Genomic DNA, 12,567 nt, shown 5'->3' with positions numbered 1-12,567 from the left:
TCCCCTTTACTTGTCTCCTTTTGATCCCTGAATATCTCCTATTTTTGATATGGAACACAAATCATAATATCATTATTGGCTATTTTACTATGCACACAGAGCAAAGCAATCACTGTGCTAGATAGATGCTTAGCTTATTTTTAAAAATCCCATTTTACAGAGTACAAGACTGATACTCTAGAGGTTAAATAACTAGGCCAAAATCATACAACATAGTAAGGAGCAGTGCCATAATTCAATCACCGGCCATGCTCTTTCAATTTCACTGAGTAACACTGACATGTAGAAATTTGGAAAATATAACTTAGCTCTCAGAGCAGATTACATCCCATTGACATTTATGGCATTTCTTATATATACACAGAAACAAATGCTACTTGCCTCAAATGAGTTTACTATTTGAGGCCTTATTATTTTTCTACAAAAATAGCTCTTAGCTTAATCAAAATTCTAATTTTAAGCTTCAATAGATTATTTCATTTTCTTAAAATATAGTGATGGCTCCAATAAGATTATATATAGACTGTGTGTGTTTGTGTGTGTGTGTTTGTGTATTCCACACACCCCCTCCCACCCCCAAAGACACAAAACACTAAACAACCACTTAAACATTATCTTTTCTTGGAAAGCAAATGTGATTTTATTTCCTTGTTTTGACTTAAGAAAACCAAAACAAACCAAGTGTATATAATTTTTCAAAGGCCAAACAATTAGCAAACTAAATCTAAAAATTGCAATCCTGATGACAAGCCCAGAAGCAAAAATTTACATTATCTACTTTTTCTACCATGAACATATGATACACTTTTTCCTTTTGTTCTTTAGTAAAGACTTATATCTACAGTATAGCTAGAATATAATAAAAATGGATATATTGTATCCAGGTGCAGGCTTGGCTGTTTGCTGCTTGCAAAGTCAATCAACAAAGGCAAAATGCTATGAAAGAACGGTGGCTTTATTTTCCAAAGCTAGCAGGGGGAAATCGTCCAGGCTTCTGCTTTAAATAAACCATTTCAAATCTTAGACAGAATGCAAGGGCTTAAAAAGGGTAGTGTGGTATGTGCAGACATGCAGGAGAGGCAAGGAGGTGCCAGTCTACATGACTTATTCTGACAACTTACCTTGGATTATTGACCCATCTGGTGAATGGGCTGGTGCCATCTTGGGTATAACCAGGCTGCAAATTAACTGCAACCCTGAAGTAATCTCCAGGTCAGGGAGAATTCCGTAGTGGCCTGAATTGTTTCAATATTTAGTCTCTAGAACTTCTAAACAGACACATAATTAGATAAGGGAAACATTGTGCAAGGGGGTATGTGGCAGAAAGAAGGAAAGTAGAATATTATTCCATTATTAAAGGCAGGACAAGGAACAGGCAGGAAAGAGAAAGAACAAAAAACATTTAAAAATGGGACAGTCAGATACAGTATCTTTGGATAAGTATATATAAATTTTGTTAACGTTGAATGTGGCAATGGTTTTAAGTATAAATGGCAACATAAAATAATTTCTTTAACATATTATTAGCAGGTTAGTTTCATAGAGGCAAAAATATTATCAGTATGTAAATCATAGACAAAGGAAAAATATTAATTTTAACAGGAAAAAATGAAATATCTGAAACCAAAATGAGAGTTCTGTAACAACTAGTCTAGTGTGACAATGAGATTATTACAACTAACAGTAGGGAAAGTTTATGTTCCTAATATTAATTTTAATTAACATATAATCCAGGTATAAAGAGAAAGAGAGAGATTGTGTTTGTTCTGTCTGTTGCAAGGGCACAGGAGCAGGAAAAAAGAGGTCAGGAAGCAGAGATTGTTCTAGAAACCTAAAGGTAGACAGTGAGTCATTCAGAGTACCCACGTACATTTCCGGTAAAATAAACAGATCCAGTAACTGTACCTAGCAGATCTCACTAGTGATTTTGAAAGGGATTAAACATTAATCATCACCTTATATGTGCATCTTGCAAAACACACTCAGCATGCTGCAATCTGTAGGATTCATGAGGGTATCTGAGTCTTAGGTAAAATATGAAGGAATATATATATATATATATATATATATATATATATATACATATATATATATTTATGGAAGTTAAACTCTTATCCATACAAAAAGGGCTTTCAGTTTATGGCTCTTATAATCATTAAACTATATGGAATTACTGAAACACCTTCATCTGTTGATTGTGGAATGGCATAGCAATATATCATGTACTTTGACTTAAGAAAACTGGGCTATATAAAGCCATTACTATGAGATTTAATACTACACAATAAATCTTGTAAATGAATAGATTTTCCAATGACATAGTTAAAAACAACAACAAGTTGTTTTTAACTATGGTCCAGTTTGCAAATTTTGGAAAATATTCCTTTTACTGTAAGAAATCTAGGGCTGTAGTTAAAGTAATCCCCACTCCTCAGTGGACTACCAAGACTGCACAAACTTCTTACCATGCAGGGTTTATTTTCAGCACAGTAAAGACAGAACTAAGGCTGTCAGAAAAATAGCGGGATGGAAACATGTTTAAAATCATAAACATCCCCAGGCACTATACATTTGACAATAAACTGTCTTTTATAGGGAGCAAGATTATCTGAAGTGCGATCTTTCAAGAAAAATAATGAGTAGAGATGATTCTCAGTTGTACTGGTAGTATTCTAAAATTTATTGCGACTGCCTACTTGGGGAACAGAGATTAAATTTAGCAGTTGAAATCAGGGTTGCCAAACATTATATAAAATATTAAATAGAAAAATGCAAGTCATGAGTTTTAAAATGGAAGAAAGGAAGGAAGAAAGGGAGGGAGGGAAGGGAAGAGTGAGGGAGAGAAAGGAAGGTAGGAAGGAAACCAGACAGGGACATATGAGCTGCCTTCTGCTTTCAGTGGAATAGACAAACTATTCAAATATTGTAAAAAGAAGAGAAATTGACAAACAAAAACTTAAAATTGGTAAATACACAACCAATTGTTTCAAGCTATCAGCCAAATTAACTGTGTACTACTACAATTATGACTGCAATCTTTATTAGTAAAGATCCAGGCACACAAGAGGGAATTGTTGGATGAAAAAGCATTGTGGTGGAGTTTTCTTGAGAGCTGCTTTTGCATTAAGCACTCTCTTTTACTTATATTTTAAGCTTAATGCTGACCTCTGCCACCTTCTTGTATATTACAGGCCAATAAAAATAGCAAAGGTTTCTGTCACGCGCGTCCATGTGAAGAGACCACCAACAGGCTTGTGTGATCAATAAAGCTTTTTAATCACCTGGGTGCAGGTGGGCTGAGTCCGAAAAGAGAGTCAGCGAAGGGAGATAGGGGTGGAGCAGTTTTATAGGATTTGTGTAGGTAATGGAAAATTACAGTCAAAGGGGTTGTTCTCTGGCGGGCAGGGGAGAGGGTCACAAGGTGCTTGGCAGGGAGCTTCTGAGACTCATTGTGCAGGAGAAGGAATTTCACAAGATTAATGTCATCAGTTAAGGCAGGAACCGGCCATTTTCACTTCTTTAGTGATTCTTCAGTTCTTTGAGGCCATCTGGATGTATACATGCAGGCTTGGGCTCAGAGGCCTGACAGTTTCTAAATGTACTTTTGTTTACATTTAACATACATTTGAATGGCTGTCTTCATTTTTAAAGACAACCCTAAGGGATAGCTTTGGGGAGGAGATGTTAACCAAAGTCTCTTCTACCTAGACTTAGCTTTGAGAAAAGAACTGAGATAAGATGAAAAGAGTCCATTGTCAGTTTTCTATTGCCATAATTTTGCTGTCCTTTTAATTCAGGTTTGTCTTGCTGATGTAACAACACAGGTATTCCATAAACTAACATAATTATTACGTATAATTATTAAATATGTATAATGTGCATCTAGTCAATCATTTCTTCTATAATGCTATAACATGGTATGTATTACTAAAAATCATTTCACTATCCAAATTGTGCAAAGAAATACTGCAAGGCTCATGGAAATACCAGGGTTAGGAAGAAATTTGTGTCGTGTGCCTAACCACATTCGTCACATGAGCTTTGTGGTTTTCACTGCATGATTTTCATGGCACTAACATTTTTAGGGGCACATATGTATTAGAAGAAATTTACTTTTTCAAAACAAGTGTTAGAACAAAGAATCCTGACTATACAATATATACAAACCCAGGAAAAAGGCTATTATTTTCCCACCCAGGGATTCCAAACCTAACATGCTCATTCATCTATTAATCTCTTTTATTGAAATAATAATTATTACAGATTTGAGTGAGCACTGAAGTCATCTTTTTCTTATAGCCAGAGTACCAAGATGGCTAGTGAATAGATAATATTTTTATTTTTATTTATTTATTTTTTGAGATGGAGTCTCGCTCTGTCACCCAGGCTGGAGTGCAGAGGTGCGATCTTGGCTCACTGCAAGCTCTGCCTCCCGGATTTACCTCATTCTCCCACTTCAGCCTCCTGAGTAGCTGGGACTACAGGCGCCCGCCACCACTCCCGGCTAATTTTTTTTTTTTTGTATTTTCAGTAGGGATGGGGTTTCACCGTGTTAGCCAGGATGGTCTCAATCTCCTGACCTCGTGATCCACCCGCCTCGGCCTCCCAAAGTGCTGGGATTACAGGCGTGAGTCAATGCGCCCACGATGACCTACATTTTTCTCTTCTGTCTTATTACCAAGTAACTGCAATTCTATTGACATTGTTAAAGGAAAATATCTTGGGCCCCCAAAATCACTAAACTAATGGGAAAGGTCAAGCTGGGAACTGCTTAGGGCAAACCTGCCTCCCATTCTAATCAAAGTCACCCTCTGCTCACGGAAATAAACGCATACCTGATTGCCTCCTTTGGAGAGGCTAATCAGAAACTCAAAAGAATGTTATCATTTGTTTTTTATCTACCTATATGACCTGGAAGCACCCTCCCCACTTTGACTAGTCCTGCCTTTCCAGACTGAACCAATGTTCTTCTTACATGTGTTGATTGATGTCTCTTGTCTCCCTAAAATGTATGAAAGCAATGAAAGCAAACTGTGTCCTGACCACCTTGGACACATGTCATCAGGACCTTCTGAAGCTGTGACATGAGCACATGTCCTCAACCTTGGCAAAATAAACTTTCTAAATTATCTGAGACCTGTCTCAGATATTCAGGATTCACATTTTGGTAACCGTGAAGGGATTCTGAGTGGAGATGCCTCTCACTTTTCACAAATTTCTTATCAGTGCTTGGTACCAGCTTGAACTATCCTTATGGCTCAAACCAATAGGACAATTTGCTGAGGCATGGAAGCACCCCCCACCCAGAGAATCTCTGATCTCCCCAAATTTGGTCACAATCTTATTTTGCTATACAACTTTTTTTTTTTTTTTTACCTTTGGAATACTACTTGTTTCCAACACAAGGAAGGCAAGTTTTTCCTGCTTCCATGATGATTAAAGGCAGGTAACTCCTTTATGGAGTTTGAACTTGCCGCCAACAGGGAAGATGAGGTTTTTGTTTTCTTTTGTTTTGTTTTTCCTGCTTCTAGGATGGTAGAGAGCAGTCTTCAGCCTGAGTCCCATCCCTAGATAAGTAACTGAATTGGGGTTTGTCTTGGCTAAAGTTAAGATTAACAACCAGCTGGTCTTAATTTCTCCTTATCGTTAGAGCATTCGGTAATCATATAAGTTGTGTGATCATTTGTTTTGCTTAACTGTTTTTTCATTTTTGCTGTTGTTATTGTTGCTTCTGTTTTTGATGTTGTTTTGGTCTTTTTCCCATTGGGTTTGATCAATGCTATTAAACTTGATCAAACCTGAAGTAAATTCCAAATTTACTTGGAACAGGGCCTCTGAAGTAGCTAAATCTCACACACACACACGAAGGAGGTGTGGTGAAGGAAGAAAAACGGCGAGCAGAAGGAAAAAAAAAAAGAGGAAAAAATTTTGATTTTGACTAAGGGGCTTTATTTACATAACAATGCCACCTTTTTGCTAGCCAGGCCAAACTGAAAGAGCGATGGCTGTACTTAAATAGCAGCAATTCGTCCTGGTTGAAATATGAAAATGAGATGTTAAAAGATTTTTTTTAAAGGAGCTCAGTGGTTAAAACTCAGCTTAATTAAAAGCTAACATCCAAGATGTGTGTGTGCTTGTGAGTATGTGTGTGTTTGCATTTAAAAGGCCTTCACGTTTTTGTTTTTTTTCTCCTAGGACCTTGTCCTTTTTTTTTTTTTCTTTTTTTTTTTGGAGTCAAAGTTTTTTTCTTCTCAGTTGACTAAATTCTGTTTCCTTCATTTACTTCTGCTGTCTCTCCTTTCTCTTGTGCCTTCCGCTGCATGGGAGACATATAACAGTTTATAATAGCCTGGGGTTCCTTAAAGAAAATGGAGAAGCCACCAGATTCCTTTAGAGGGAGAAACCTGTTTTTCCTTATGGAACCCCAAGAATGTAAACAGACAAGTTCAAGTTCATCTCAGCTCTTTAACTGCTTTTGTATTATCCATTTATTTTGTTGTTGTCGTTGTTGTTTTTGCTGAAATGTTATTGCAACAGAGGCTACTCTTGGGATTTTAAGGAATACTGTGCTTTAGGAACTTAGAAATGTCTTTGTCCAAAAAAAAAAAAAAAAAAGAAAAAATGTAAGTGCACTGTAAAAGCATCACATGTTCTAACCTCATAATAATTCTCCCTTTTTGGAGACCCAGGATTCAGTATGGGCTCTGCCCAGAGCTAGAGATCCAATTAAAAGATAGGTAGTTCCTATCTAAGTAAATTGGTCTCCTTATACAATCCTATGATAAATTTCTATAATTTTGTGTTTGATTTGGCATCCTTCTCTAATCTTCCTCTATGAAATTATATTCCTCATATGAAATTATTTCTCTTTAAGCTTTTTTACCAAAAAAAATCTTTCTATAACTTTCTTTACATCTATTTCCTGGTTCCTTTTACTTTGTTTTATACGTGACCTTTTTTTAAAAGGATCCTTCTTTTCTTTTAGAAAGAATATTTTCAGCTGGGTGCAGTGGCTCACCCCTGTAATCCCAGGACTTTGGGAGGCCAAGGCGGGAGGATCACAACGTCAGGAGTTCAACACCAGTCTGGCCAAGATGGTGAAACCCCGTCTCTACTAAAAATACAAAAATCAGCCAGGGGCAGTGGTGGATGCCTGCAATCCCAGCTACTTGGGAGGCTGAGGCAGGAGAATCGCTTGGACCCGGGTGGCAGAGGTTGCCATGAGCTGAGATCACACCACTGCACTCCCACCTGGGTGACAGAGTGAGACTCTGTCTCAAAAATAAAAAAAGGAAAGAAAAAGATATTTTTCTACAAATATTTTTATATTGGAAAATACCCAAATAATGAAATATCTATTATTTAATTTAATATAGCTTTAGATTTAAAAATTATGACAAGTTTGTCTACAAGTATTAATCCTATTATGTTTACCTAATTAATTTTTATTGCTTACCTATATTAGTATTATTATTTTATTTATTTATTTTTTTTCGAGACAGAGTTTTGCTCTGTCACTCAAGCTGGAGTGCAGTGGCATGATTTCAGCTCGCTGCAACTTCCACATCCTGGGTTCAAGTGATTCTCCTGCCTCAGCCTCCCGAGTAGCTGGGATTACAGGCACCTGCCACCATGCCCAGCTAAGTTTGGTATTTTTAGTAGAGACAGGGTTTCACCATGTTGGCCAGGCTGGTCTGGAACTCCTGACCTCAGGTGATCCTCCCACCTTGGCCTCCCAAAGTGCTGTGATTACAGGCATGGGCGACTGCACCCAGCCCTGTTTACCTACCTTATTTATAAAAACTTCGATTGTCATTATTTAATGTTATGGAACTGCCATTGCAAAATTATAACTGAGACAGTGAAAAAGACTTGACCTGACTCCATCTTGCTTCTAACCTCCCAGCTGTCCTTGTTCGTTCTTTCCTTTTTTTTGAGTCAGAGTCTCACTCTGTTGCCCAGGCTGGAGTGCAATGGAGCGATCTCGGCTCCTGAAACCTCCACCTCCTGGGTTCAAGCGATTCTCCTATCTCAGCCTCCCGAGTAGCTGGGATTACAGGCGCACACCTCTGGGCCCAGCTAATTTTTGTATTTTTAGTAGAGACGGGGTTTCTCCATGATGGTCAGGCTGGTCTAGAACTCCTGACCTCGTGATCCGCCCGCCTCAGCCTCCCTATGTGCTGGGATTACAAGCGTGAGTCACTGCGCCTGCCTCCCTTGTTCATTCCTGAGTGCAGGCTGAACTAAATTTTGGGAGGAACTTAGTTTACAGTATATCTTTGAAACAAAGGTAGCAGTCCTTTCCCAAAACAAACCTTACTGCATGTGGACTAGACCACCTAAAGCCACAAGATTAGAAGTTATGATAATCTTACTAAATTCATGATGTATTTTTATTAAACCAATATCTATGTCTTATTAAAAATTACACAAGCAAAGATCATTCTGTGAGGCTGGGTTTATAGCTTTGTATCCCCTACACCAAATTTTGACACCTTATAGCATTTGGCAGAGATAAGTATGAAATTGCTTGATTAGTAAGTGCAAACAAAAGTGTATTGGCAGTTCTTAAGATAGTTCTAATATTACTTTACCAATAATTTTAAAGCTAGCTTATTTGTCAAAGACTTTACTTAATTTACTTTTACTTGAGAAAGCATTGGACTAGTCTTTTATTTTTTCTGATAAAGTATTCGATTCCAATGCTTTTATTTTCTTAAGCCATTTAATTAGAGCTCTTTTATATATTTTTGGTAGTGAAAGATTGTTTACACAACACATAAATACACAGACATACTGTGTCTGGAATTGGTGGGTTCTTGGTCTCGCTGACTTCAAGAATGAAGCCGCAGACCCTCGCAGTGAGTGTTAGAGTTCTTAAAGATGGTGTGTCCAGAGTTTGTTCTTCCAGATGTTCAGATGTGTCTGGAGTTTCTTCCTTCCATTGGGTTCGTGGTCTCGCTGGCTTCAGGAGTGAAGCTGCAGACCTTCATGGTGTTACAGTTCACAAAAGTGGCACATCTGGAGTTGTTCATTTCTCCTATCTGGAGCTGTTCATTCATGCCGGTGGGTGGGTTCGTAATCTCGCTGGCTTCGGGAGTGAAGCTGCAGACCTTCGCAGTGAGTGTTACAGCTCTTAAAGGCGGCACGGACCCAAAGAGTGAGCAGCAGTAAGATTTATTGTGACGAGCGAAAGAACAAAGCTTCCACAGCATAGAGGGAGGCCCAAGTGGGATGCTGCTGCTGGCTCCAGTGGCCTGCTTTTATTCCCTTATCTGGCCTCACCCACATCCTGCTGATTGGTCCATTTTACAGAGAGCTGATTGGTCCGTTTTGACAGAGTGCTGATTGGTGCATTTACAAACCTTTAGCTAGACATGGTGTGTGTACAGACCTTTAGCTAGACACAGAGTGCTGACTGGTGCCTTTACAACCCTTTAGCTAGACACAGAGTGCTGATTGGTGCATTTACAAACCTTTAGCTAGACACAGAGTGCTGATTGGTGCGTTTACAACCCTTTAGCTAGACAGAAAAGTTCTCCAAGTCCCCACCCGACCCAGAAGCCCAGCCAGCCCAGCTTCAGCTCTCAATGGCACTCGCCCGGGACTTTGTGGCACCTAGCCGGGGCACTCCAGCAGCCCAGAGGGAGCTCATCCCCCCAATGAAGCCCAGCAGGCACTGGCAGGCCAAATGTGAGGGGCCCGCCAAGTCCTTGCGCACCCGAAACCTGTCCCTGCAGGCGCGAGCAGCCCCGGCTTCTGCCCACGCCTCTGCCTCCACAGGTCCAGGCAAGCAGAGGGAGCCAGCTCCGGCCTTAGCCAGCCCCAGAGAGGGTCCCCCACAGCCCAGCGGCAGGCTGAAAGGCTCCTGGAGTTCAACCAGAGTGGACGCCAAGGCTGAGGAGGTGCCAAGAGCGAGCGAGGGCTGCTAGCACATTGTCACCTCTCAATATTAGGCATTCAGATAGAAGTACAGCTTATAGGTTCATAAAAACCTTTTTTTCTTCTATCTTGGACTTTCAGATTATTGATAACCTGTTTCACAACCCTAGGCAGTTGTCAGCTAAATAGCCTTAAATTTGCATATTAAAGGAAACAACTCAGGTGAAAATCAAATAGCAAAATTTACATCATAAGTTACTGAGAGAAAATGCCTGGTGGTGCTAGAGGGAGATTAAAGATGTATGCCAAATGAGAGAAAGAATCTTGTATGGTAAATTGAGTCATAGAGTAAAATGACTGCTTGTTTAAGAAAGAGTAATGTTCAGAACAAACCAGAGAGTCCATGCATATAACGAACGGTCTGTGTAAATCACAACAAGAAGATTTATTTAAAAAACAAACAAACAAAAAACTGGGATTACAGGTGCCCGCCACCATGCCCAGCTAATTTTTGTATTTTTAGTAGAGACGGGGTTTCACCATGTTGGCCAGGCTGGTCTTGAACTCTTGACCTCAGGTGATCCACCTGCCTTGGCCTCCCAAAGTGCTGGCATTACAGGCGTGAGCCACCACACCTGGCCAAAAAAATACCTTTTGTATGATCAAGTTGTCTATGATTAAAGGGAAATTATAATGGTCTTCCTAGAGATTGGATTTGATGTAAAAAAAAAAATTTATACAATAAAGAATTGGTTAGAACAATAAAATTTTCTTAAGGAATTAATTTACTCTTCATAAATTATAAGAAGTTTTTTTAAAAATTTTAATCCAAAGTACAACTTTTATTGCATCTTGATGGTTTCAGTTTTCTCTTCCCCTTTAAAAAGCACAAAATATTAACATTTCCTTTCAACTCATTTTCAGCTCATTTAAGTTTTTTTCATTCCTCGACTTCTGTTTTTTTGTGCCTTGATGCTAACCATGTATTTTTAAAGGTCTAAAGGAAATGTCATCTTCCAACATAATATTCTGCGCACTGCAGAAAGTCTTTTCTGCTGCCTTTTTGTAGCTGGTTTAACATATTTTATGTTTTATCAAAATAATTCCTATTTTATTATCATTGAATTTGGTTTGCTTAGGGAAAAATGAGATTTAATTTTTTTAAAAAAAATTAAGGTTATTACATCCATGTATCTTCCTGTACGTGCTTTTAAAGTCCCTGTGACATTGAGTTACAGGGCTTTGACTCCTGGGTCTAAAAAGGACACCAAAGTCTGCTAAATCTTAAACACTGACAACAATTAAAGCCTCATCTTCAGGCCTGATAGAGGATGCCAATCAAAATAAAGGGCATTCCTGGGACACGGGGTCAGAAATTAAAGCTTTTCAACCCCTCAAGGCCCAGGGACTATTGCTGAAGAGGTTGGCATGTGAAATTGTAAGGGCCTAGGAATAAATGATCCTAGCCATGAGAATCAGATGAAACCTGACATGAGAGACTCGTTTTCTTCTAAAATGTTTTCTCCAAAAGATTTTTAAAAAGAGAAAGAGGAAAAGGTGAAAAGAAAATCTCTTGAACCCCCACAATCACTAAGCTAAAGGGAAAAGTCATGCTGGGAACTGCTTAGGGCAAACCTGCCTCCCATTCTATTCAGTCACCCCTTTGCTCACTGAGATAAATGCATACCTAATTGCCTCCTTTGGAGAGGCTAATCAGAAACTCAAAAGAATATCATCATTTGTCCCTTATCAACCTATGATCTGGAAGCCCCCTCTTAGCCTCAAGTTGTCTTTTCAGACTGAACCAATGTTCATCTTACAATGTTGATTGATGTCTCATCACCCTAAATTGAATAAAACCAAACTGTGCCCTGACCACCTTGAGTACTTATCATCAGGGCCTCCTGAGGCTGTGTCATGAGTGTGCATCCTCCACTTTGCAAAATAAACTTTCTAAATTAACTGAGAGCTGTCTGAGGTTTTTCATGTGCACAGCACAAAATGTTCTAACCTTAATCCAAATTGTTCAGTGGAAAATCTTAAAAGCAAGAAAATAGAAGTCTCAAAAAATATGTATTGTGAGTGATCAGTTCTTACTTCATATACGCCTTTTTTCTTAATATCTACTGTTATTTCATGAGCTTTTTAAAAAATTTCACACGAATCTTGCATCATGATAAACATATTTAGAATGCAATTGACTTAAAACCACTGCGCCTTATTTTTTAGTATCACGGGGTGAAGGAGAAGAATCAAAGAACTGAGAGGAGTGTTAATGCAGAAGATATGAGCAATTGAATAGCTTTAAAAGCTTAAATTACATAGGATGAGAGAAAAATTATTCATATTAAATTTCCTAGTTTAAATGGCAAGAGTTAATAGAATTGGTTTAGTTTTACCTTTGTAGTTGTTTTCGTTTAAAGGAGGGTTAGTTTCTTAGAATAAGTTTTATAATGAAAGTTAAGATTCTAACCAGTACTAAGATGTAAAGAACAGAAACCCCTATACATTGCTGATGAGACTAGAAAATGGTACATCGGAATGCTGCTGGACAGCTTGTAATAAAATAAACATATATCTACCCTATGATGCAGCAATTCTACACCTAGGTTCATATTCATAAAAATAAAGTATATGCCTACAAAATAAGATGGGAGGGGCTTGTAGAAGAATGTTCATCTACCC

General features: G+C 38.5%; 1 annotated feature.

The window, feature by feature from the left end:
* Window positions 3,337–3,897: an enhancer, noted in NCBI's record as "OCT4-NANOG-H3K27ac hESC enhancer chrX:93306747-93307307 (GRCh37/hg19 assembly coordinates)". NCBI's record gives its function as "activates a minimal SCP1, AML or CMV promoter by ChIP-STARR-seq in naive H9 embryonic stem cells {active_cell/tissue: H9 hESC(naive)}" and the evidence as "EXISTENCE:reporter gene assay evidence [ECO:0000049][PMID:30033119]".

This window comes from Homo sapiens, chromosome X (genome assembly GCF_000001405.40).
Source record: "Homo sapiens chromosome X, GRCh38.p14 Primary Assembly".
NCBI classification, from domain to species: domain Eukaryota; kingdom Metazoa; phylum Chordata; class Mammalia; order Primates; family Hominidae; genus Homo; species Homo sapiens.
This window is presented reverse-complemented; position numbering and strand designations above follow the sequence as displayed.